Here is a 25,585-nt window from a genome sequence, read left to right on the forward strand (position 1 = left end):
AGCATTTGCATTATATTGGTCATGAGAGAGAATTAAAATACTTAAGGCCAGGCATAGTGACTCACACCTATAACCCCACAAATTTGGGAGACTGAGGTGGGAAGATTGCTTGAAGCCAGGAGTTTGAGACCAGCCTGGCAATATAGCAAGGCTCTATTTCTACAAAAAACAAAAAACTTAGCCAGGTGTAGTGGTTTGTGCTTGTAGTTCTAGCTACTTGGGAGACTGAGGTGGGAGGATTACTTGAGGCCAAGAGTTTGAGGCTTCAGTGAGCTATGATTGTAACTGTCCAATGGGTTCATCTTGCCCACTGCCTAGATCAGATTTATCAAGACAGGGAATTGCAACAGAAAAAGCATTTAATACACACAGAGCTAGCCAAACATGAGATGAATTTTATTATTACTCAAATCAGCCTCCCCAAAAATTCAGAGGCTAGGGTTTTTGAAGGATAGTTTGGCAGGCACAGGGCGAGGGAAGGGGAAGGCTGACTCATTGGGGATGGAATCAGGGGTGTGGAAAACTGCTCTTGTGAGCACTGAGCCACTTCTGGGCGGAAGCCACAGAGGAGGGGCTGGTCCAGGTATCGGCAAAAGCTTGAAAAGACATCTCAAAAGGCCAGTCTTAGGTTGTACAATACTGATGTTATCTGCAGGAGTAATTGAGGAAGTTACAAGTGTTGTGACTTCTGGAATAATGGTTGGTAATTATTTAACTACATCTGTATCTTAGCAGAATTCAAGCCCCTCTCATCCTCCTAAACTGGTGGCCTTTTATTAGTTTTACAAAGGCCAATTAATTTTGGGAAGGGCTATTATCATTTAAACTATAAACTAAATTTCTCAACAAGTTAACTTAGCTCATGCCCAGGAATGAGCAAGGGCAGTTTGAAGATTAAAGGCAAGATGGAGTTGCTTAGATCAGATCTCTTTCACTGTCATAATTTCCTCACTGTCATGATTTTTGCAAAGGTGGTTTCATGATTGTGCCACTGCCCTCCAGCCTGGGTGACAGAGTGGGCCCTGTCTCTAAAAAAACATTAAAACAAAATAAGTAAAAGTGACTGGTTCCCTCTGTAGCACCTGGTGCAGTCTCTTTCCCTAAGAGAGAGAGAGTTTCAGTTACCTTGCAGCCCAGGGCAGCCGTTTGTCCCCACCAAAACTAGGCAATCACTGTGGCAGAGCCTTGGGTTCTGGCCTCTGTGGCAGATGCTGGCAGTGGTGTGCTAGTTAGTGGCCCTCTGGAATACAGACAGGACCAATTCATAGAATCTGCCAATTTCCATGGTGTAAATATTCCCACCAAAGCTATTTCAGATCACCAGCGTGACAACACTGACTTGCACTGGAACAGGATACTCACACTCTGCTCTCACAAGCCTGTGCCAGCGAAAGATGCTAGCCTGGGAATCACATCTCTCTCCGTGGGAATTTTGCGGGGTCCCTGCACTGCTCTCCTTGCCCATACAGGAGGCCAGCCCAGGTTGTCCTACAGTCCTAGTGAAGCGGTGTCATTGTCTGGGGTAAATACCCAAGATTTGTTATCTCACAGCCACGGAAAACTAGGACACAGACACACAAGGAGCGAGCTTCAGAGTGGAAGTTTAATAGGCAAAAGAAAAAGAAAAGCTCGGCCAGGCACGGAGGCTCACACCTGTAATCCCAGCACTTTGAGAGGCCGAGGCGGGTGGATCACGAGGTCAGGAGATCGAGACCATCCTGGCTAACACGGTGAAACCCCATCTCTACTAAAAATACAAAAAAACATTAACCGGGCTTGGTGGTGGGCGCCGTAGTCCCAGTTATTTGGGAGGCTGAGGCAGGAGAATGGCGTGAACCCGGGAGGCGAAGCTTGCAGTGAGCGGAGATCGCACCACTGCACTCCAGCCTGGGCAACAGAGCGAGACTCTGTCTCAAAAGAAAAAAGAAAAAGAAAAGCTCTCTCCTGAAGAGAGAGGGGTCCTGAGCGGGTTTTCTGGTCTGTGGCAAAATGCAAGGGATTTTATAGATGAGCTTGAGGAGGTGGTGTCTGATTTACATAGGGCATGAAAGATTTGTCGGACCAGATGTGCCATTTGCATAAGGCACAAAAAACTGGTTAGGACTAGGTGTGCCATTTGCACAGGGCATGAAAAATCTGGCTGCCCCACCCTAATCTTTTATTATGCAGATGAGTTCTCTACCTGGCAGGAGCCATGTTACCTGCTTCTTTACTGTACATGTGGTGACAAAGAAAAGGGAAGATGGAGTCTCTGAGCTGAACATGCCTGGCTTCCAGGTCACCCTTTTCTATTGGCACAGCTGCCGGCATTCACTCGTGCAAGCTTCCAGCTTGCTTATCTATGTCTGCAGCTCAATTTTTCAGGCTGCTTTTTGTTAGAAAATAAATTATTTGGGGGCTGCTTTTTGTTAAAAGGGAAATTCCGCCAAGGACTCTTTTGCCCTTACTATCTACCTAAATAATTTCTTTCTAGCTCCTCTATCACTAGGGCCCAATGCTGCGTATCTAAACAAACAGGAATGAAAGGATAGGTAAGTGGCGCTGCAGTGTTAAGTTGCTCTAGCACGTGCTTCGGTTAGATTTTCGCCCATTCAGCCATGTGGTGGGAGGGCAGAGAAAGCCAATTGTGCACAGAAGCTGGGACAGAGCATCGAATTCCCTGGAGAACATCAAATCCAGCCCAGGCTGGTTGGGGGTCTTAGGGACATGAGGTAGGTGACATGTTCATGAGACCATTGTTCTCATCAAGAGAAGCCTTGTTACATGGGGAGAAAATAGAAGGGGGGTGTGTGTGTGTGAGCATGCACAGGGTTCACTGACATCCCCGAGTAGGAATAGTGAAATTGAGTGTTCCAGACAAGGAGGAGATAGGAATTGTGTTCAGAGCCCAAAGGGTGACGTTTTGGTTTTGGAGAAGTCATTGGTGGTCTTGATGAGTCATGACATGACATGGCATGTTCAGGGGACAGTGTGGCCAAGATGGAATGGGACTGTCGTTAGTAAGGAGGAAGTCAAGAGGCTGAGAGGGAAGGGGAGGGCCATGGGTCATTCCAAGGACAGGTGACTCAAGGCATGACATGACATAACCAGGAGACCTAGAATTTTTTTAAAAACGAGATTTTTGAATGAAGGTAAAGGTAATGTTCTGGAAAAGGAAGTAAAGCAGTAAAGGACTAACCCTGCTTGAGCACTGTGGCTTGGTGGGCTTTGGGGGTGAGAGTGGCTTTGTGCTGTCAGAGAAGCAGGGCGCCCAGGGAAAAACATGAGTCAGAAGCAGCAGAAGTGAAGGCAGAGGTGCACTTTAGCCCCATGCCATGCTTGCCACCCTAACAGCCTTTCAGGCAAGTCAGCGTGCCCTTGGTTTCCTAGCAGGCGCGCCCTCCCAGGTGGAGTCCTGGGGCTGAACACATCCCCTGGACCCACATGGAGTTTCCAGGATCTGAGTTCATGACACTAATTGCTGGTTTATCCTTTTCTCCTCCGGGGAAATTCTTACGGCTGGGAAGATTCCCTCTGATATTTTAGAAGAACATAATAATTAAGCATTTTAAGGGGAGGAGGCTTGTAGAAGTTCAAATTAGATGCTATATGGGGAAATTATAGCTGCTGCCGCCAAGAAGCAGCAGCAAGAAAGGCTGTCAGCAAGAAGTTGCGTGCAACGGCGACAGGAATGGGCCCACTTTGGACCAGCAGGGCTAGGCGTGCTTCCCCTTCCTGCACCTCTGCCCATTCCACCTCAGGTCCAGGCGCTGCCCAGGGCCCAACAGACCAGGGAGCAGCTGGATTCTCATCTCCCAAAACCACACAAGAAGTCCTGGCCTTCTCAGATGGTGGGCATGAAGGGGTGGGACCCCCCACTCCATGGACCACCTTCCTCCTGTGTCTACCCCACCAGCAAATCATGGGCAAGGAGGGCCATGGGGCTGCTGGTGAAATGGCACAGTTCCCTGATTCCCCTCGCAGGACATGGGGCTGCTGGTGAAATGGGACAGTTCCCTGATTCCCCTCGCAGGACATGCGACAGGGGTGTTGCCTGCTTGGTCATCCTGCAGATCAAACCCCTGGCGGGAGCATGCAGACAGGAAGGTACAGAGGCTGGGGCGAGTGCTTTTGGGATCCTGCCCCACGCAGCATCTAGGGGCGGATGTCCGTGCCTCCCGAAGCCCAAGTGAGCAGTGTGTTACAGGCTCTTTCAGGTTTGCCATCTGCAGATGGCTTGTGTGTTAATCAGCTCAATGGACAAAGTGTGACAGCTTTCTCTATCATCTGGAGCTCTTGCCTAGTGTGCGGGAAAAATAGGATCACACGTGGTCTCGAAGGATGAGTGCAAGATTTTATTGAGTAGTGGAGGTGCCTCTCAGCAAGATGGATGGAGAGTCGGGAGGAGGCATGGAGTGGGAAGGTGGTCTTCCCCTGAAGTCCAGCTGTTCTCGGCCCCTTAGGTCCTTCTCTGCCGTGCTGCCCTACTGCTTTTTGTCGCTCTGTTCCTCTGCTCCTCTCCGTGTTCAGCCGCTTGTGTGTCTGAGCCTGCTAAGATCTGGGGTTTCTATGGGCACAAGATGGGGGGCATGACAGGCCAGAGTGGTCTTGGAAAATGCAACATTCGGACATAAAAACAGGAGTGCTTGTTCTCACTTAAGTCCGCAGGCACAGGCCTGAGGGTGGAGCCCCGGCGAGGGACTCCGCCCTTCTCTAGCCAGCACTTCCCTGCCCCCGTGTCCACTGCGTCTTCCCCCTGAGCTGTCGAGGCTGTTTTCAGGAGCCGGTGGTGAGGAATCCCAAGATGGGAAGATAGTGCCTCCTCCCTCCTCCCAGGCCTCCAGGAGGCTGCCCTCCAGGACAGAGGACAGAGAAGGGGAGATTCCTGCTGGCATTCTCTGCTGGTGTATGGGCTCTGAAGTGGGCCCAGGAATTCATGCCATCCAAAGGAGGAGGACCCAGGAGTTCTGTTGGCCTCACACCTTCTGTCCAGAGAAGCAGTTCTGGGGACAGAGAAGTGCTGGGGCGCAGGGTGGCCGAGGCTGCGCGTCCACATCTCATCATTCCTGGACTGTTGAGATTGGCCATTGGTGACTTTACCTCCTGTCTGCGCTGTGCCAGCAAAGGTGGAGCCCACACCCTGGGGTAGAACAGCTCTTGCTCAGGGAGGGCCCGCTCTGGGCATGGTTGGGCTCGGGGCTTCGTTGGGCCCGGGGCATGGTTGGGCTCCACGCCTGAGTCTCCCTGCAGCTCCCACGTGTGTGCCTCCTCCTCAGTGAGACATAGTCCCTGCAGTGTTTAAAGGTGGGGATCACATGTTTTGCTCAGTGGCTTTGGGGACTGGGTGTTTCTCCTCTCAAACAAAATTGGGAGCCTTCTGGGTCTTTGGCCCCGCCTGCCTCTGCATGAGTGTTTATGGGATTCCTGTAACCAGGCAGACCCATTTCCAGATTCGTAGAGGATGGCAGCCCGCCTGTGTAAATGCCATGGTTGCCTGACATGGATTGGCACTGGGGCTGGCCCAAGGACCCGGGGCCCTGCTTGGCGTCGGCTGCCCCTGAGCTGCTCGCTTTCTTTGGCATTCACAGAGGGGCCTTTGTATAGTTAGCAGCCTACACAGAGCTCTTTAGGCCATGACCATGGTGGAGTCAGGTTGGAGCGGGGGCCCAAAAGCAGCTGCAAGGCCAGGTCCCTGGGGCACAGAGGAATGTGTGGAGTCTGGCGGGGGGCTGTCAAGTCCAGGTTGCTTAGTACAGACCACGCAGGGAACACGGGAATCCAGATGGCAAGATCTCAGGGTCAGATGAAGCAGCAGGTAGTGGGAAAACCAGACCGGGAAGGCCAAGTCAGTGTCCACCATCCCATCAGACAGGGGGTCCTGGAGAGTTTCAGCCCAGCAGGTAGGAGACTGTGCTCACAGGATCCCTGGGAAGAATGTCTCAGGCCTGACATATTCTGTGGTCGGGCCAAGATTAGGGTGAGTGAGGCGCGAGGATGTCAACTCTAAGGAGGCATCACTCCCAGGACCAGCCTGCCCTTGCATGACCCTGAGACCTGGGAGAGGAGCCTCCTTCAATTCTGCACCTTGGCACCTCCCTCACCTCCCCTCAACCCTAGCCCTGCAGGTTGTGCCTTTGCTAACCCAGACGGCTGCCCCCTTGGTTCCACATAACAGCACCGATGGGCTGAGTTCACGGACTCTGGGGTTGGTTGGGGTCTTTACCTGGGTTTAGGCACCCTTCCTGGTGGGATCTCTCAACACGTTCTCAACAGCTACTTCCCCGGTCAGGGAAGGGCATCCATTCACCCGGTTGCCCAAAACAGATCGCTGGGACTCAGTTCCTCCTCTTCTTTCCTTCCCACAGAGACAGCTGGGCCAGGTTCCTAACTGGTCTCCCTGTCTCCAGCCTGCCCCTCTAATCCATTCCTGGCCTTCCTAAAACTCAGATCTGATATCATCTCCCCTATGAGTCTTGGAGAGGACATTGCCCCATCTATAAAGGGGTGCCATATAGTTCTTTATCGAATATAGCTTAGTTTTCTGACTCTAAAATTAATAATTAAGGAAACACAAGGAAAGACAGAAAAATAGAAAGGTGGATTACTCATTTTGGCCCTATGAAACCAGATGCAGCCACAAGACTTGTTTGGCCAATGAACATTCAGTGGAGGGTGATGTGTGTTGCCCTACTGGACAGAAGCTTCCAGAGCCAGTGTGTGATTTTCCATGCGCTCTTTTCCCCACTTTGAGAGTATGTCTGTGTCTGACAAAAGCAAGACCTCTTGCTCCCGAAACTGCTCTGCATGGAGGAAACTCAGGCACACCCCCTGATGAGCCTCCTGGCTGGGCCAGCTAACTTTGTACAACAGGTGCAAAGCTCACTCCAGCAGGGACGCTGATCCTGGCCCAGCAGCAAGAGGATGTGGATGGCTTTGATCATGCCGTTTCCACTTCTGGAAAAAGAACTCATTCTTTGGCAGCATTTCCATTGTGTTACCAGACAGCATCCCAGATGCTGAGGACACGAAGTGGACAAGACAGGTGAACAGTGAGGGTCCTGCTCTTTTGGAGCCTACCTCCTCGGGGGACCCAGACTTATTTACACAAGTAAATAAAATATTGTGTTAATTGCAGATGGCGCTGACTGCTTTGATGAAAATAGAACTGAGCAATGCATATGGAGGGGTGACAGGAGACCAGAGGGGTGTCAAGGGCCTCTCCTGAGCTGAGAGTGGGATGAGGATAAGAAGCCAGCCAGGTGAGGAGGGAGAAGAAGACCCCAGGGCTGAGACATATTTGGCATGCTTGAGGGACAGAGAGAGGTCCTATGTGTTGCTGCAGAGTCATGGGCAAGGGGCAGGGGGAGGGGCAAGATTGGAGGGAACAGCAAGGGAAGATCATGGGAACCACGTACACAGCTGCGATGGTTTCTGAGTGCTGTTGGGAAGTTCTTTCTTTCTTTTTTTTTTTTCTTTTTTTGAGACAGAGTCTCACTCTGTCACCCAGGCTGGAGTACAGTGGTACAATCTCAGCTCACTGCAACCTCCACCTTCTGAGTTCAAGCGATTCTCCCACCTCTGTCTCCTGAGTAGCTGGGATTACAGGCGTGCACCACCATGCCTGGCTACTTTTTGTATTTTTAGTAGAGATGGGGTTTCACCATGTTGTCAAGGCTGGTCTCAAACTCCTGATCTCAAGGGATCTGCCTGCCTCAGCCTCCCAAAGTGCTGGGGTTACAATCGTGAGCCACCGCACCCAGCCATGTTGGCAAGTTCTTAGAGGGCTTATAGCACAGCAGTGACCTCCTCTGATTACCCATTGGCTACTGGTAGAATTGCTTGTAGGACTGAGAGAGAGAGCGATGGCTTTGACAGGGGCTGTGGCAGTGAAAGGGAGAGAAGTAACACATTTGGGAAGTACTTTGGATGTAGCGTCTGATGAGACTTGAAAAGGAATTGTTTATGGAAGGTGAGACCAGAGCAATCAAGAATAATTCCTGTGCTTTCACCTTGAGAAAGTCCAAATGCTACGAAAAGCCAGATGGCAGTGGAATCTCTAAATGGAAATGACAAGAGATTTTGTTCCCTCTCAATTTTCCTAAGAGGTCTTTCTTCATGAAGTTGGGTGGGGCACGGGGCCCCTGAGGTTCTTGTCGCCCCTCACCACTCTTTTTTCTTTTGACTGGAGAAGTGTCCACATGAGTCTGTGGGAGGCAAGAGTTGGGGGTTGGGAGGAGGAGAGGGAGAGCTCACCTGTCTGCTTCCCACCGCATGCCCAGAGGCTGTGGTTTGTGACTGCTGGTTTTGACAGTCTTTACTGGCTTCTGATCAAACTGGAGAAGATCAGGAGGTTAATTTTGCCCTGAAGGCAGGCATTATGCCTGGCATCTATGCAAGAATTTAGAGCATGTTGAGAGCTCTCTGATGTTCAGTTTTGAGTGGAAGGGCTCCTAAGGCTACACTGGAAATAGGACTTGCCTTGGCCTCAAAGTAGTTGGACTCCCTACAGGCTGACCAACAGGGGCCACGGGGGCTCTGAGAAGTTCCTAAAGCCCCCAATGAGGTATTTGTCTAGGCAGAGCTTTGAGGAGCACAGCAGCTGTGCCTGGCTCGCTCCCTAAGGATTTAGGGCTAGCTCTGGGTTCAGGTTCCTCTTTGCCAAGAGGGAGAATACCTATTCTTACTTCTCTTCTCAAGACCTTGTGGGGAGAGTGATTAGAGAACTAATAAAATGATGGGTAAAGATGCTGGGGTGGGGAGAGGCAGGCTTGGGTAGGAGCATGGGTAAGAGGTGTTCTGCCAAGATGCATTATAATTGTTCCTTTGGGGGCGCGGTGGCTCACGTCTGTCATCCCAGCACTTTGGGAGGCCGAGGCAGGCAGATCACGAGATCAGGAGATGAACACCATCCTGGCCAACATGGTGAAACCCCATCTTTACCAAAATACAAAAAATTAGCCAGGCGTGGTGGTACGCACCTATAGTCCCAGCTACTTGGGAGGCTGAGGCAGGGGAATCGCTTGAACCCAGGAAGCAGAGGTTGCAGTGAGCCAAGATTGTGTCACTGCACTCCAGCCTGGTGATAGGCAAGACTCTGTCTCAAAAAAAAAAAAAAAAAAAAAAAAAAAAAAAAATTGTTCCTTCCATACCAGTTCTTATATTTGGCTGTTGGCTTTGAATGTGGGAATGAAGCAGCAATACATGACGTAGTTGTAAACTGGTCTTTCTTATGTTTCTCCTCTTACTTTATCATGTTTAAACAAACAAACAAAATGAACAAAAACCCCTAGGTTAAACAATATAATTCTCATTTAAAAAATTCAAACAGTTCAAATGTCCCACAACTATTTGGTCTCATTACCCAGAGTGAACTACCCGTAACAAAAGCATTCTTCTAGACATTTTTCATAGATAAGCAATCATAGTTGTCAGGCACAGTGGCTCACACCTGTAATCCCAGCACTTTGGGAGGCCAAGGCAGGAGGATCACTTGAGGCGAGGAGTTCGAGACTAGACTGGACTACTTGGTGAAACTCTGTCTTTACTAAAAATATAAAAATCAGCCAGGTGTGGTGGCACATGTCTGTAATCCCAGCTACTTGGGAGACTGAGGCACAAGGATTGCTTGAACCCAGGAGGTGGAGGTTGCAGTGAGCCAAGATCACATCACTGCACTCCAGCCTGGGCTACAAGAGCAAGACCCTGTCTCAAAAAATAAAATAAAATCATAGTTTATGCATAATTAAATATACACATAGATATACATATATAATAAGTATTTTAAGATGAATATGCCAGCAAATTATAAGGCTCTTTTGCATCTTCTTATTTTTTACATAACTTTTCAGAATGTTTTATATCAACATACATACATCACCTTTCTTTTCAGTAACTGACTAGTACTCCATCTAATGAATGTACTATTATTTTCTTATCTAGTTCCCTATGATGGATTGTTAGATTATTTCTAGTTCTTTGGTGTTGTAAGAATCAAATTAATGAGCACACACAAAACCACACATAGTTAAAGTATTAAAAAGTAAAATGTGCTGGGCACGGTGGCTCACGCCTGTAATCCCAGCACTTTGGGAGGCCAAGGTGGGCAGATCACTTGAGGTCAGGAGTTCGAGACCAGACTGGCCAACGTGGTGAAATCCCATCTCTACTAAAATTACAAAAATTATCTGGGAGTGGTGGGCACTTGTAATCCCAGCTACTCTGGAGGCTGAGGCAGGAGGATCCCTTGAACCCAGGAGGTGCAGGTTGCAGTGAGCCAAGATTGCACCATTGCACTCCAGCCTGGATGACAGAGTGAGACTCAGTCTCAAAAAAAAAATAAATAAATAAAAAGTAAAATGAACAAAGACTGTTTCACTCATTAGTAAATGAGAGAACCAGTAAGATGAGGCCATGTAACCTCGAAGAACAAAAACTAAAATATGAACAGTGGTTGGCATGCTCTTGGGGTGCCTGACAGAAACAGACAGGTGATGATTTTACCCCAGGCCAGGAGTCCCCCCATAAGCCTAGAAATATGAACTCAGCAGCCTGAGCAACATGGCAAAACCCAGTCTCTACCAAAAATATAAAAGATTAGCTGAGCGTGGTGGTGTGTGTCTGTGGTCCCAGCTACTCAGGAGGCTGAGGCAGGAGAACCACTTAAGCCCAGGAGGCTGAAGTTGCAGTGAGCTGAGATCACACCACTGCACTCCAGCCTGAGAAACCACAGTGAGACCCCTTGTCAAAAAAAATATATATGAGCTCAAAATTTCAAATGAAGAATAAGCTACCAAGAACAAGAATCAGGAAAAACAACAACTAAGAATTCAATTCCCAAGAAAATAAAATATTCAAATTATCAAATGTAGATTATAAAATAGATATGCCTAAACTTATTACAGAAACTTAAAAGTAAAGTTGAAAATACAAGAAAAAGGCCAGGTGTGGTGGCTCATGCCTGTAATCCCAACACACTCGGGAGGCCAAGGCAGGTAAATCACGAGATCAGGAGTTCGAGAACAGCCTGGCCAGCATGGTGAAACCCTGTCTGTATTAAAAATACAAAAAATTAGCTGGGTGTAGCGGTGGGTGCCTGTAATCCTAGCTACTTGGGAGGCTGAGGCAGAAGAATCACTTGAAGCAGGAGGCAGAGGTTGCAGTGAGCCGAGATCGCGCCACTCCACTTCAGCCCAGGTGACAGAGTGAGACTCCATTTCACAAAAAATAAAACAAAACAACACTACAAACAAACAAACAAAAAACAAACAAAAAACTGAGAAAAGAATAAGCTTACTATATATATAAAAAAATACCAGGTCAATTGAAAAATAAAATACTTCTAAAAATTAAGAAAAATAGCCAGAAGAATTTAAAAACACAATAGAAAGAGTAAATAACAGAAGAGATAATTAATTACCTGGAAGATAGATCTGAAAAAATTACTCAAAACTTGGTGCAAAGAAGAAAGGTGATGGTGGCTGGTGCAGTGGCTGTGCCTGTAATCACAGCACTTTGGGAGGCTGAGGTGGGTGGATCACTTGAGCCCAGGAGTTTGAGACCAGCCTGGGCAACATGGCAAAACCCTGTCTCTACCAAAAAAAAATCCAAAAAACCCAAAACGCAAAAAACAAAAATTAGTTGGGCATGGTGTCATGTGCCTGTAGTTCCTGGGTCCCTTCCCATGTATCGTGGGAGGGACCCAGTGGGAGGTAATTCAATCTTTGGGATGGGTTTTTCCCATGCTGTTCTCATGATAGTGAATGAGTCTCACAAGATTTGATGGTTTTATAAAAGGGAGTTCCTCTGCACAGGCTGTCTTGTCTGCCTCCATGTAGGACATGACTTTGCTCCTCCTTGTGAGGATCACTTGAGACCAGGAGGTCGAGGCTGCAGTGAGCCATGATCACACCACTGCACTGCAGCCTGGGCAAGAGAGTAAGGTCCTGTCTCAAAAAAAAAAAAAAAAAAAAAAAAAAGGAGATGGAAAATATGAAAAAGAAGTTAATAACATGGAGGATATTATAAAATGATCAAACATACATATAACTGGAGTACCAGAAAGAGACAATAGACATTGGGAGAGGGACAATGTTCAATATTTTTGCTTTTTCTGAGAATGCTCCCAAACTGATGAAAGACATGAATTCTGAGATTCAGGAAATAATGAATCATCAGCAGGATAAATATAAATAAATTTACATCAAGATGCACTGTGGGGAGCACTATGGAGATCTGTCAAATGCCAGCCAAGGACCCCTCTGCCTTACTCATGTCCTTTTAAATTCTTGTGCTAAATTCAATAACAGCAGCAACAATAAGGATACCTTATTTTCATTTAGCATTTTATGTTGTTTGAAGTCTTTTATAGTCTATAAATATGTCAAAGGTAAGACCTTTGACAGATGAGGAGATGCATGTCAAAGATTAGGAGACCTAGTTCAAGGCCAGTTCACTTGGCAGCAGATGAAAGCATCAGTGCTTGGTCTGCTAACTGGGATCCTTCCCGCTTTGTGCTCCCACGAAAAAGTTTCTGAGTTCCTTGGAAGCCGCTTCCAATGACAGAGACAGTTGCACATTAGGGGCTATTAAGTAGGGTCTGGGAAAGAGACAACTTCCTGATATGGGGAGGGTCCCTGGCTACAAGGCAGATTATATCAGAACTTGCCCTCAGTTCCAGGAAACTAGAGATGCCTCCTGTCTTGGATAGAAAGAGCTGCCTGTTGGGTTGAGGAAGGACACTGAGGCTGTGGGAGAACCTCTTTAGCTTGAGGAAGAATTCAGCCAGTGAATCAGTTTTATAGCTCTTTCGCTCTTACTTTCCTGTCTCTGAGAGATGTTGGTGCGACTGTGGTTTCTGTCATTGGCTGTGGTGTGTTATGAAAGAACATTGGGCAAAAACAGAAGTTATGGGTCAGGTTCTGGTTTTGTCCTTTGGACTCATACTGGGCTTTGTTTACTTAAGAGGGAGTTTGCTTCTAACAGGAGCAGAGTGTGTGTCATTGAAGGGGGCAGTGATTATAGTTTACAAAAGTGATCTAGGAGAAGAATTCCAACTTACTATTGAGGTTGTCACTGAATCTCTTAACATTTCTCTAAAAAAATGACAGGAAGGTGTGAGCTTTTCTGATTGTCAAAATGGGACATGGATGAGAAAAGTTTAAAAAACACAGAACAGGAAGTTTTTGTTGGTGGGTGTGTTAGTTCGTTCTCACTCTGCTAATAAAGACATACCCGAGGCTGGGTAATTTATAAAGAAAAAGAGGTTTAACGGAGTCACAGCTCCACATGACTGGGGAGGCCTCACAATCATGGCAGAAGGCAAAGGAGGAGCAAAGGCATGTCCTACACGGAGGCAGGCAAGAGAGCCTGTGCAGGGGAACTCCTTTTTATAAAACCAGCAGATCTCATGAGATTTATTCACTATCACGAGAACAACAAGGGAAAAACCTGTCCGCGTGATTCAATTACCTTCTATTCGGTCCCTCCCTCATATGACACTTGAGAATTATGGGAGCTACAATTCAAGATGAGATTTGGGTGGGGACACAGCCAAACCATATTAGTGGGTCAAAATGATATATTGAAGTTCTAACTCTCAGTATCTCAAAATGTGATCTTATGGGAAACAGAATCATTGCAGATGTAATTAGTTATATTAAGATGAAGTCATACTGGAGTAGAGTGGACCCCTACTCCACGTGACTGTTGTCCTTACAAGAAGACAGAGACATGGGGAGAACCATCTCTGAAGACCGAAGATTGGAGTGATGCAGGTACAAGCCAAGGGATGTCAAAGATTGCCAATAAACCACCAGAAACTAGGAAGAGGAAAAGAAGAGTTGCCCTATAGGTATCAGAGGAAGTATGGCCCTGTTGACACCTTAACTTTGGACTTAAGAATTGTGAGATGATAAATTTATTTGGTTTTGGTTTTAAGTACCCAGTTTGTGGTACCTAGTTATGGCAGTCTTCAGAAATGAATACAGTGGGCATTTATGACTTTGGCTGTCCATCATCTGAGCACCTATCCTGCATGGGGGAAATCCTAAGGTTTGGGAGGTGACACTGCTGCTCCTTACAAAAGCTCAATGGGACTTGTATTAGGGTTCTCCAGAGAGACAGAACTAGTAGGATATATGTATATATGAAAGGGAGTTTATCAGGGAGAATTGGCTCACATGATCACTAGGCGAAGTCCCGTGGCAGGCTGTCTGGAAGCTGGGGAAGAAAGAAGCCACTAATGGCTCAGTATGAGTCCAAAAGCTTCAAAAGCAGAGAAGCTGACAGTGCAGGCTTCAGTCTGTGGCCGAAGGCCCAAGAGCCCCCAGCAAACCACTGTTGCAAGTCCAAGAATCCTAAGGCCGAAGAACCTGGAGGCTGATGTTCAAGGGCAGGAGGAACAGGAGGAAGCATCCAGCACGGGAGAAAGAAAGCAGCCAGAAGACCCAGCAAGCCAGCCTATCCCACCTTCTTCTGCCTGCTTTGTTCTAGTTGAGGTAGCAGCCAATTGGATGGTGCCCACCCTCACTGAGGGTGGGTCCGCCTCTCCCAGTCCACTGACTCAAATGTCAGTACCCTCTGGCAACACCCTCACAGACACACCCAGAAACAATACTTTACCAGCTATCTAGGCATCCTTCAATCCAATCAAGTTGACCCCTAATAGGAACCATCACAGGACTAGATATTCTTTTCTCAACTCCAGGCAGCTTGACTGTGAGGATGTCCCCTAAACACAGCCAATTGGACATTCCTGCCACTGTTTCTGAATTTGGAAGAAGTAAACCAAGCCTCCAGGTTAGTTACAGACTTTTTAAAATGGTGACTGTGGCCAAGTGGACGGTCTGATGCCTCAGCAGCTGGTGCCCGGCAGTGTCACCAGGACAGTTAGCATGGTCCTGCTGGCTGCTGTAGCAACATTCCAGCTGACACCATTCCCCTGCTCCCAACTATTTCCTGCCTGGGCATGTTTTCTGGGCTTTCCATGATTCTGTGAGCTACTGACCTTTCTCTACTATGTTAACCAGAGCCAATTTCTGTTCTTTGGAACATAGAATAATGACTAGTGCTTTACAATCTGTAAAGGATGAATACCCTCCATGCTTTTTATTTTTTTTTTATTTTTTTTTAATTTTTATTTTATTTATTAATTTGAGACAGAGTCTCGCTCTGTCACCAGGCTGGAGTGCAGTGGCTCAATCTTGGCTTACCACAACCTCTGTCTTCCAGGTTCAAGCAATTCTCCTGCCTCAGTCTCCCAAGTAGCTGGGACTACAGGTGCGCGCCACCATCCCTGGCTAATTTTTGTATTTTTAGTAGAGACAAGGTTTCACCATTTTAGTCAGGCTGGTCTCGAACTTTTGACCTCATGATCTGCCCACCTCGGCCTCCTAAAGTGCTGGGATTACAGGAGTGAGCCACCGAGCCTGGCCAGCACTGCTCTCTTTCATTTTTCTGCATTCCTACCTGTTTCATGCATCTCCACAATGGGACTTGAATATCTGAGGTCCCCGCCCTGTGGAACAGGGGGTTCTGGGAATGGTCACAAGGCTGTGGATGTGGAACATGCTTTCTGACCATAATATGGCACTGTCTCAGGTTAAGCCTAACAGATCTTGCCCCCTTCCACACTAGAGAGTCTGTTTCTGAGGCCACAGGAGTGCGACTGTGGTCTGGGTAAGACACGTTAGGAGAGACTGGCAGGGACCAGCTCTGCATCCAAAAGACCTGGCGTCTTGCTGTGCTCCTCAGCGTGGAGGATCCATGATGTACTCCAGGCATAGCCAGCTTGTGTCAATCAATGGAGATCCCTTTGGTGCCTGTAAGTCCCCTGGATAGACCCCAAGAACATTCCAGAACCCCCAACATCTCGACTAGGCAGCTTCCTGTGCATTAGGAACAGAATCTTTCTTCCCTGAGAAATCTTAGTTCCCAAATGCTATGAGAGGAAGGACATTGCCTACACGGTAGGTCAGAGACCTCCACTGATTTATGTGTCTGTTCCTTTATCAAGCAGGCCCTCAGCCTAGCGGTGCAGAGAGGACATGGATCTTCCCGAGATGCCCACAGTCTATGAGAGAGAAAGACCAAGAAACCGCTGGAGGACTGGGTGAGCAGTGCTCTGAACCGGAGAGGGGTGTCCGACTCAGGAAAGACACTGTGAAGGAGGTGACATTTCAGCTGTCTCAGGAAGGACAAATAGGAAGTGGCCTGTGAAGAAGTAGTAGTGGAGGACCAAAATGTGGGACCGTGGGAGGAAGAGGGGACAGGACTGTTGTGGGGAACATTGGGTGGGTGTAGGTGGAAAGTGAGGGGTGAATTTGAGGAGACAAGGAGGATGGAAAGGGTCTTGAATGCCACACAAAGGCATGTCACCTGGAAGCCAGGGGCATTGAAGGGTTTTAAGCACACGATGACACCATCAGATTTGTGTCTGCTCTGGTCACATGCTAATATGCTTTCTCTTAGTCTGATTTTGAGTGAGCTCGTGAGTAACCAACGCAAAGGGGTGGCCTGAGAAGGACTCCATGCTTCTGTATTTGAGTCCTTGTGGACAAACTGTAACTTAATAGGTAGACAACATTGAGTACCTAACTTAGGAGTATGCACCTGTAAGAACTGCTGAGTCTTGGCCAATCCCAGCGGCCATACTTCAACCACTCATACACCACTGAGTGTTCAAACTGTGTTCAAGTAAGGCAAAGGCCAACCTGTAACCAATCCAGCTATTTCTGTAGTTCACCTCCAATATCTTTTTTTTTTTTTTTTTTGAGACGGAGTCTCACTCTGTCGCCCAGACTGAAGTGCAGTGGCGCAATCTCGGCCCACTGCAAGCCTCCGCCTCCCGGGTTTGTGCCATTCTGCAGCCTCAGCCTCCCGAGTAGCTGGGACTACAGGCACCCGCCACCACGCCCGGCTAATTTTTTGTATTTTCAGTGGAGACGGGGTTTCACTGTGTTAGCCAGGATGGTCTTGATCTCCCGACCCTCGTGATCTGCCTCCCTCGGCCTCCCAAAGTGCTGGGATTACAGGCGTGAGCCACCGCGCCAGCCGCACCTCCAATTTCTGTATGTCACTTCCCTTTTTTTGTCTATGAATTTGTTCTGACTATGAGGCATCCCTGGAGTCTGTGTGAATCTGCTGTGATTCGCGGGGGCTGCCTGATTCACGAATCGTTCATTGCTCAACTAAACTCCTTTAAATTTAATTCTGCTAAGTTTTTCTTTTAACAGAGGGTTGCGCCAACTCTCTAGAAACAGCCCTTCTTTTACTCATTTCTAGCAGACTTGCTTTACCCTATGGGATTTAGGTCAAGGGCTCACAGAGGGGCCCCCATACCATATGTCTAAATATTTAAAAGTTATAAGAAGCCAACAAACCATTAAATATAATGTGTTCTATTCTCCATCCTTCACAAATACACTTAAAAAAACAAGAAAACAAAAAAAACAGGGTCTTGCTCTGTCACCCAGGCTGGAGTTTAGTGGTGTGGTCACAGCTTACTGCAGCCTCGACCTTCTGAGCTCATGAGATCCTCCCACCTCAGCCTCCCAAGTAGCTGGAACTATAGGAGCGTGCCATTAAACCAGGGTAATTTTTAAATTTTTACTTTTTTAGAGATGGGGTCTCGCTATGTTGCCCAGGCTGGTCTTAAAACCCTGGCCTCAAGCAATCCTCTGGTTTTGGCCTCCCAAATCTCTGGGATTACACACGTGAGCCGCTGCACCTAGCTCCAATATGCTTTTTCTTTTGAGATGGAGTCTTGCCCTGTTGCCCAGGCTGGAGTGCAGTGGCGCAATCTCAGCTCACTGCAACCTCTGCCTCCAGGGTTCAAGTGATTCTCCCACCTCAGCCTCCCTAGTAGCTGGGATTACAGGCACCCGCCATCATGCCTGGCTAATTTTTGTATTTTTCTAGGAATGGGGCTTCACCATTTTGGCCAGGCTGGTCTTGAACTCCTGACCTCAGGTGATCTGCCCGCCTCAGCCTCCCAAAGTGCTGGGATTACAGATATGAGTCACCATGCCCAGCTTCAACTATGTTTTTGTAACAACCTGGAGAGCCAGATTGGAGGTTAGACTTGTCGATTCTCTGGAGTTCTGTGTCAGAAGCCAGAGGCGCGAGAAGCACTGGCCACAGCCCCCCTTTATCTTCCCAGCCTCTCTGTCCAGCACCCTGGGCCCACATGTCTCAGCTCTGCTCACATCTGCACAAATACTGCTTTTTGGCCATCCCTTGGGAGAGACAGACCTGGAGAAGAGTCTCATGCAGGGCCTGGAAGCTGACTTGGGGGCCCTTTGGATAGAGAATTTGGGGGCCCTGAGTCCACCAAACGTGGTCTAGTTTCTAGAAAACAGAGCCTGGGTTCTAGCAGGAACATCCTGTTGGTCCTATGGACTCTTCTCCTGGTGAGGACTGTGGCCTGAGGAGGACCAGGGAGGGCCTTCTAAAGCATGGGTCTCAGGCAGAAACCCCTCATGTGTAAGGGTGGAAGGGAAGGCCCCCTATGCCTCTTGTAGCCCAAAGAGAAAGTGGGAGTGACCCCTGTGGGCAGTGGCTTAGGGTCTCTGCAGAGTTTTTCCACTAGAGGCAGGGCAGAGCCCCCCGGTTGGGGTCCCATGCCACTCATAAAATTCTTCCACTTCCACTTCTACCTCAAGCCGCCTGGCTGACAGTACTCCTCTTTACACCTCTTTCATGCACTGTTGGGACTGTGTTTGGTGCTGTCTGGGCCCTGTGAGAGGGGGACCCAGAGTGGGAGGGAGTCACCGCACAGCAGCCGCCTTCCCAGGATCGCCTGTTCTCTCTCATGTTTCTCTTTAAAATTTGTTTATGTGCGTTTCTACATTTGTCCTCTTCCTTCCACAGGCCTGGCAGGTTCTATTTTTGAAGGTCTGGGCAGGGACCAAGGCCCAGCAAGTGTAGCCAAATCACACAGCTTCATCTGCCTTCCCTGGCCTTGATCACCACCACCCTTCCTGCTCCCTCCTCTTCTCCCTCCTGGAAGAATGGGTCCTGTCTTCAGGCCCTGAGCATCACTCCGGAGAGTGAGACAGACAGACAGACAGACAGACAGAGAAAGAGAGGTGGAGGCTGAGAGCAAGAACAACTCTGCTGGACCTTGGAATCAGAGAGATTTATTCCATCTCTCCTAAATTTGAAATATTTTTCCTGGGTTCTCTCCTTGGGAACGCTTATGTGTAGGATTAATTTATGACTAGATCCCAAATGAAAACAGTTCCTAAGCCCAACACCCAATAAAGTCCCCATTGAGTTTCTTCTCACACTTCCTCCCCACCTGGCAGGCGAGGCCGCTGGCTCTGGTGTGTGTTCTGAGCTCACTGCAGGCCGGCCACTCTCTGGGGCACCACTTCTGTCCTGTGCCTGGCTCTGTCCACAGCACAGGCCCCAGTGTCCGCCCCAGCGTACTGCCTTGCTCACAAATGCTCGTTTGCCTTCCGTTCTTAATTTATAAACTGTTTTTCAAACTTGTTGGCTGTGGGCTTTGATCCTGGGGCTGTGAGTCCCAAGCGGCCAGGCACCAGGCATCCACTGAAGCAGGCTGTGTCCACAGCACCCAAACAGGCTGGTCCTGGGACTCACTGGCTTGGAAGATCAGAACTGAAAAGACCTTGGAAATCACCTCATTTTACAGAGAAGGAAACTGAGATAAGTGAGTTGTCCATCGTCATGCTTAAAACAAGGTTTTAATACTGGATTTCTGTTGTTTTTATGCCAGTCAACCTCAGAGGCATTGGGCAATGGAATCTTCTCTAGTTGACTCTATCCTGGTGTGAGAGGGATTTGGTGAGTCAGGCTCCTGACCCACGCTCCTGAGAGCAGCAGCCTATGGCTCAAGGCCACAAGGGAAGTGATACGGTTTGGCTGTGCCCCATCCAAAATCTCATCTTGAATTTAATCCCCATAATCCCCGTGTGTCAATGGAGAGACCAGGTGGAGGTAATTGGATCATGGGGTGGTTTCCTCCATGCTATTCTCATGATAGTGAGTGAGTTCTCACGAGATCTGATGGTTTTATAAGGGGCTCTTCCCACCTTTGCTCAGCACTTATCCTTCCTGCCACCTTGTGAAGAAGGTGGCTTGCTTGCCCTTCACCTTCCACCATGATTGTAAGTTTCCCGAGGCCCCCCGACTGAACCATGCTGAACTATGAGTCAATTACGCCTCTTTCCTTTATAAATTACCCAGTCTCAGGTATTTCTTTATAGCAATGTGAGAACGGACTAATACAGAAGGATTGCCTGGCATTCTCCCAGGCGTGGAGGGAATGGAGGGAAGAGCTGCAGGAATGGGGGTGATGTGGGAGGTGGAGCCTGGTGGGGTTGGGGAAGGTCTGCAAGCTGGAGCAGGGGCAGGGGTTTGGGGGTCCTCCCAGGGTCGCTGAGAGGGAGTTGCTTCCTAGGCCAGATTCTGGGAGTGGAGCAGGACTTCAGAGGGCAGTGGCTCCCAGGACATCCCTCAGCCCAGGACTCTTGTCCCCATAAAGCACTATACAATCCCTGACTCCATCTCCCACACTTTCAACACTGTGCCTTCCGGGAATCACCATCCAGCACTCCTCAAATCCCAGATGTTCTTCTCTGAGCAGTCCCTTTGTCTCCTTGTTCTGATGGAAACCTGCTCTCCCCCGAGATCACCGGTTCCCTAAAACTCCCTCATATGGTGAATCTTTTCTACTCAATGGGATCGTCCTGCTAAACCTAGAGGAGAGGTGGGGGTCTTCTTTTCTTCACTCTGCTACTGCTTCTCCCTAAAACACCTAGAAGTTAATCTTGTGTCATTAGAGAGACTTTCTGAAATGCCCCTAACAGTAATTTACATATGCCCTGAGCTTTCCCCTTTCATTCCTTGATGTTTAGTGCCTAGATTACCATCAATCTCAACACCGCTCCTGATTGAGCACTGGGAGGATTTTTCTCAGACCGTGACCTTTCTTTTCCTTGAACTTCTCTCCTTACTCATATTGGCCTCCACTGAGCTTCAGTCCCACACTCCAGTGGGCATATCCTAGACCCTGGCATTTATTACCAATTAAAGCGCCCCCTCCATAATCTCAATTGCATCTCAACTGAAAGTTGTATCTCTCTCCAACCACTTTCCTGATCACTCCGTCTAGTACCTACTCTTTGTGGCTGTACTGGGATTACAGCCCATTCCTTCTACCATCTTTTCACAGCCATCACCCACCTTTGTGTTCAGTTACCTCCTTTTCCAGCTGAGGTTTCATGGCCCATCAGTAGAATCCCTCCTTTCCAAACACCTGAAACTCCCTTGCTGCCTTGCGTGGTAGTCATCTGGTGAAAGCCAAATCCCAGCCTACTCTGTGCAGCAACTGCACAGGACTGAAGAAGGCACCTACCATGCAGAGCAGTCTCATCTCAGGTTCATGACCATTAACCTCAGGTGGACCCTGAGTGCTGCCTGGCAAGCCCAGTCCATTCACTTTCCCACTCTCCAGAGCATTATGTCACACCTCTGCTTCTCTCATTCCTTCACGCCTCCTTCACCATGCTCGTTCTCAGTGGACAGCTTATTACCAAATGAGAAATGAGAAACAATCAGAAGAGGATGCCACATGCTCTCACCATCCTGTCTAGACCCTTCCTTCATTTATGCCCTACTTCTCAGCCTTCCTTCCTGTTGTTATGGAAGAACTGTCCATCAAAGACCAAGAGCTGCAATTCTCTAAGGGACTCCCTGCTCAGCAATTATACCACTCTATTCTTCATAATCAATATCCCCTCTCTTCTGAAACATTCCGATTGCACAGAAACATCCTGGAATAGCTCCCATGTTCATCAACTTTCCCTTGATCTTACATCTGCCTCCAGCCACTGACCCATTTCTTTGCTCCCCTTTACAGCAAAAGGCTCTTCAAGAGAGCCTTTACTTGCCACCTCCCATTCGTCTCTTCCCCTTCTCTTTCCTTTTTCTGCTTTTTGTTTGTTTGTTTGTTTGTGTTTTTTTGGTAGTCACTCACATACAGTAAAGTGTATGAATCCTAAGTATACAGCTCAATGACATTTTACAGGTGTTTATGCCCAAGTGGTCATTGCCCAGATCAAGACATCCAACAATGCCAACTCTCAGGAAGGCTCCCACCTGCCCCTTCTGGTCAATACCTGCTCATTGCCACCCCAAGAGGCAACTACTCTCCTGGACCTTAGACAAACACTTCAGGGGAGTAGAGGTATTGTGGACAGTCAGCACATGTCCTTGCAGATGCAGAAGGTGACCACCCATCCACAGAAGAGAAATCATGTGGCCCAGTGCCCCTGGCGGGATCTCAGCCTGGTCAGATGTGTGCATGGGTGGACCTCATGTACCCTGAAGACACCCTGAAGGAAAGACGTCCAAATGGGAACACTGACTATTTATGGGTGGTGGAATTCATGGAGACTTTAGTTTATTTGGTGCCTTCTAGCCATGGATGTTTTCCTATTTCTTGTGCCAAGAAAGGAACACTTGTAGTTTATTGGATTTTCCTTAATATGCAGTTTTTCCAAAGTGTACATTTGGGAGCCTACCTTGGATTAATCCTTGAAATCTAATAAGCAAACCATATTGTTTGGGGAGTATATTAGGTAATTTGGTGTTGAAATGAAAATCACATGTTCTTGGATTCATGGTCCATTCGTTCTACATTTAACAGAATAAATTCTTCTAAACATTTCACACCCTTGCCTCTGTAATTAAGGAAATTCTACTCAGCCTGCTGAGTTACCATTCCAAATGCCCTATTTATTTGTCTATAATTTATGTATTTCCTTATTTTTCTATCATTCTCATTTTTTCTTTATGCTTCTTTTAAGGGTTCTTTCTTACCAGCTATATTAGACATTCTAATACTATTTTTACAGTTAGCCATGCCTACCCATACTTTCTTATCTTTACTATATGCCATTTCTTTATCCATTTTTAATTTACTTTTCTATAAATTGGAAGATATCCTCTATTTACTCTTAGAAATGTTACTTTTCCAGTGAAAAACTTTTCGAGTGCTTATTTGTTTAAAGTTTTTATTTTGCATAAGAATGGTCTTTTAGGCCAGCAAGGTGTTTTATGCCTGTAATCCCAGCACTTTGGGAAGCTGAGGTGGGCAGATCACCTGTGGTCGGGAGTTCAAGACCAGCCTGACCAATGTGGAGAAACCCCATCTCTACTAAAAATACAAAATTAGCCAGACATGGTGGCACATGCCTGTAATCCAAGCTACTCGGGAGGCTGAGGCAGAATAACTTGAATCTGGGAGGCGGAGGTTGCAGTGAGCTGAGATCATGCCATTGCACTCCAGTCTGGGCAATGAGAGTGAAGCTCGGTCTCAAAAGAAAAGAAAAGAAAAGAAAAGAAAAAGAATGGTCTTTTGCTAGGTGTTGAATTCTGGGGAATTCAGTTTTCCTAAGAAAATTTAAAGATTAACTATGTTACTGTCCCATCTTAGAGATAGGAAGTCTTATGCCAGTAAGTTTCTGGTTTCTTTGTGGTACACTTCTTGTTATGTTTTTGTTTTCTTCTCAAAAACCCCTCAGGGATTTTTCTCTTTCAGTGGTGTCCAGAAATGTGTTAAAAGAAAAACCTCAGCTGAATTAAATTTAAGGGAGTTTAATTGAGCAATGAGTGATTCAGCAATCGGGCAGCCTTCAGAATCACAGCAGATTCGCACAGACTCCAGGGATGCCTCATGGTCAGAACAAATCTATAGACAAAAAAAGGGAAGTGATGTACAGAAATCAGAGGTGAGGTACAGAAACAGTTAGGTTGGTTACAGGTTGATGTTTGCCTTATTTGAACACAGTTTGAATACTCAGCAGCGTATGACTGATTGAAGTATGGCTGCTGGGATTGACCAAGACTCAGCAGTTGTTACAGGTACCTAGTCCTAAATTAGGGTTTCAATCTTGTCTGCCTATTAGGTTGAAGTTCATTCATGAGGACTCAAATACAGAAGCAGGGAGTCCTTCTCAGGCCATATTTAGTTTGCTTTGACAATTCCCCCATTTTGTTCATTTTCTCGATTTTGAGAGACTGACCAAAACTTTTGTCTTTGATGTTACTATCACCATGGTAAATGTACTTGTTTGGTCTTGAAACCCACTAGGAAACAGTAGAACAGTGAGTTTTGCGAAAGTAGGAACAAGGACTGTGTAGAGGGTACCTCCTTATGCTGGAACATCTTGTTTACAGAAGAAAAACAAAACCTGGTCTGTTCTGGCCTAGGATCTATGTGTTTCCTTAAAGTCTTAGTTTGATTATGTCATTTTTAGTATGAGTGACTCCAGCTTTGTTTGATTTGGTCTGTTGAGGCCTAGTGCATGAGCTCAGTCCAAAACAATGGCCTCCCATAATTTTATTTTTAAAAATTCCCCCTTTTTGGCCAGGTTCTCACTTAGGTGAGAGTGCGACCAAAACTTAGGGCTTTAGCGCCACTCTTGGTTACCACCATTTTCAGTTTCCCTTCTCAGCATGTCATTCATAGCTTACAGTGTCCTCCTGGTCACACATTTCTTTCAGCTTTTGTCATTACAGTTGAATAGAGACCATTTAACATTCTAGAGTTGGCTGCATGCAAGCATTAAAACCTTTGAGAGAACACAGAGCACCAGAGAGACTGTTATTATGACTATCTACAGGATAATAACAAGAGTTTGGAATATGCTCCTTACCCAGGGTTCCCAAAAACCAAACCACCTAAAATCAAATAGATCAAAGAGCAAGCTAAACAGTCCACTCGCTTAACTAAGTGGTCTTTTTGTTAATCCCCTACAACGGAATCTCTGTAATACCTTATGTATATCTCCCTAGGCCAGAAGTGCCAGCAGATACATAGACACTTTTCTGTCTAGCCAGTTCTATTACTTACCTTAACTTTCACAAGAGAATTGAAAGTCTTCTGTGTAACTACAGCCTTTACAGTAAAATCTGCTATAGAGCCTATTGTAAGGGATACATCTCTGATCATCACCTCTTTTATTCAAAAACATGGAAAAAGGACCTAACAAATGATGCCCTTCTAGAAGAGTGAAGGCCTCCTGGCAATGTTCTCTTTAATCCATGATACGGGTTAAGAGGAGTGAACCAATGTACTGTTTCTGACTGACTATGAGGCAACGTATGTACCATTAAAGTTCCCCACATCGGGCCTTCATCTTTTGTCTATCAAAGTATAAGGTTATCCATGTATAAGGCTGGCTGCAAAATCCTTCACAAATAAAAGTATACCCCATAAGTGCATGCAGCAGACACCCTCTTCATTTCTATTGTTCACAGAGGCATAAGCAAGGAAAAAATTTTCAAAGATAAGAGTCTCATGACAGTAGAAGTCTTCATCCACGATCTTAGGAAAAGCCATTCACATCAAGGTTGCCATATTCGTCTGGGGAGAGACTTCCTTGGTTAGCTTTACCTTAAAGTTTCCACTGGGTGTATAGTTCCAAGAGCGTGGAGGGACCCTTCTCAGTTGTGCGATTATGAACCCAAGTTTCAAGATCCTAAAGTTTTGTTGCAGTGTGAATGGCAAGGACAGTCTTTCTCTGATGTTTTCAGAAGATGCAATTTTCAGGTTCTAGATGATGAAGGGGTTGACTGT

At 47.1% G+C, this 25,585-nt stretch overlaps 3 annotated features.

Annotated features, from left to right (window-relative positions):
- Positions 3,327-4,007: an enhancer, noted in NCBI's record as "H3K27ac-H3K4me1 hESC enhancer chr1:223209992-223210672 (GRCh37/hg19 assembly coordinates)". NCBI's record gives its function as "activates a minimal SCP1, AML or CMV promoter by ChIP-STARR-seq in naive H9 embryonic stem cells {active_cell/tissue: H9 hESC(naive)}" and the evidence as "EXISTENCE:reporter gene assay evidence [ECO:0000049][PMID:30033119]".
- Positions 4,688-5,367: an enhancer, noted in NCBI's record as "H3K4me1 hESC enhancer chr1:223211353-223212032 (GRCh37/hg19 assembly coordinates)". NCBI's record gives its function as "activates a minimal SCP1, AML or CMV promoter by ChIP-STARR-seq in naive H9 embryonic stem cells {active_cell/tissue: H9 hESC(naive)}" and the evidence as "EXISTENCE:reporter gene assay evidence [ECO:0000049][PMID:30033119]".
- Positions 19,408-19,908: an enhancer, noted in NCBI's record as "H3K4me1 hESC enhancer chr1:223226073-223226573 (GRCh37/hg19 assembly coordinates)". NCBI's record gives its function as "activates a minimal SCP1, AML or CMV promoter by ChIP-STARR-seq in primed H9 embryonic stem cells {active_cell/tissue: H9 hESC(primed)}" and the evidence as "EXISTENCE:reporter gene assay evidence [ECO:0000049][PMID:30033119]".

This window comes from Homo sapiens, chromosome 1 (genome assembly GCF_000001405.40).
Source record: "Homo sapiens chromosome 1, GRCh38.p14 Primary Assembly".
NCBI lineage: Eukaryota > Metazoa > Chordata > Mammalia > Primates > Hominidae > Homo > Homo sapiens.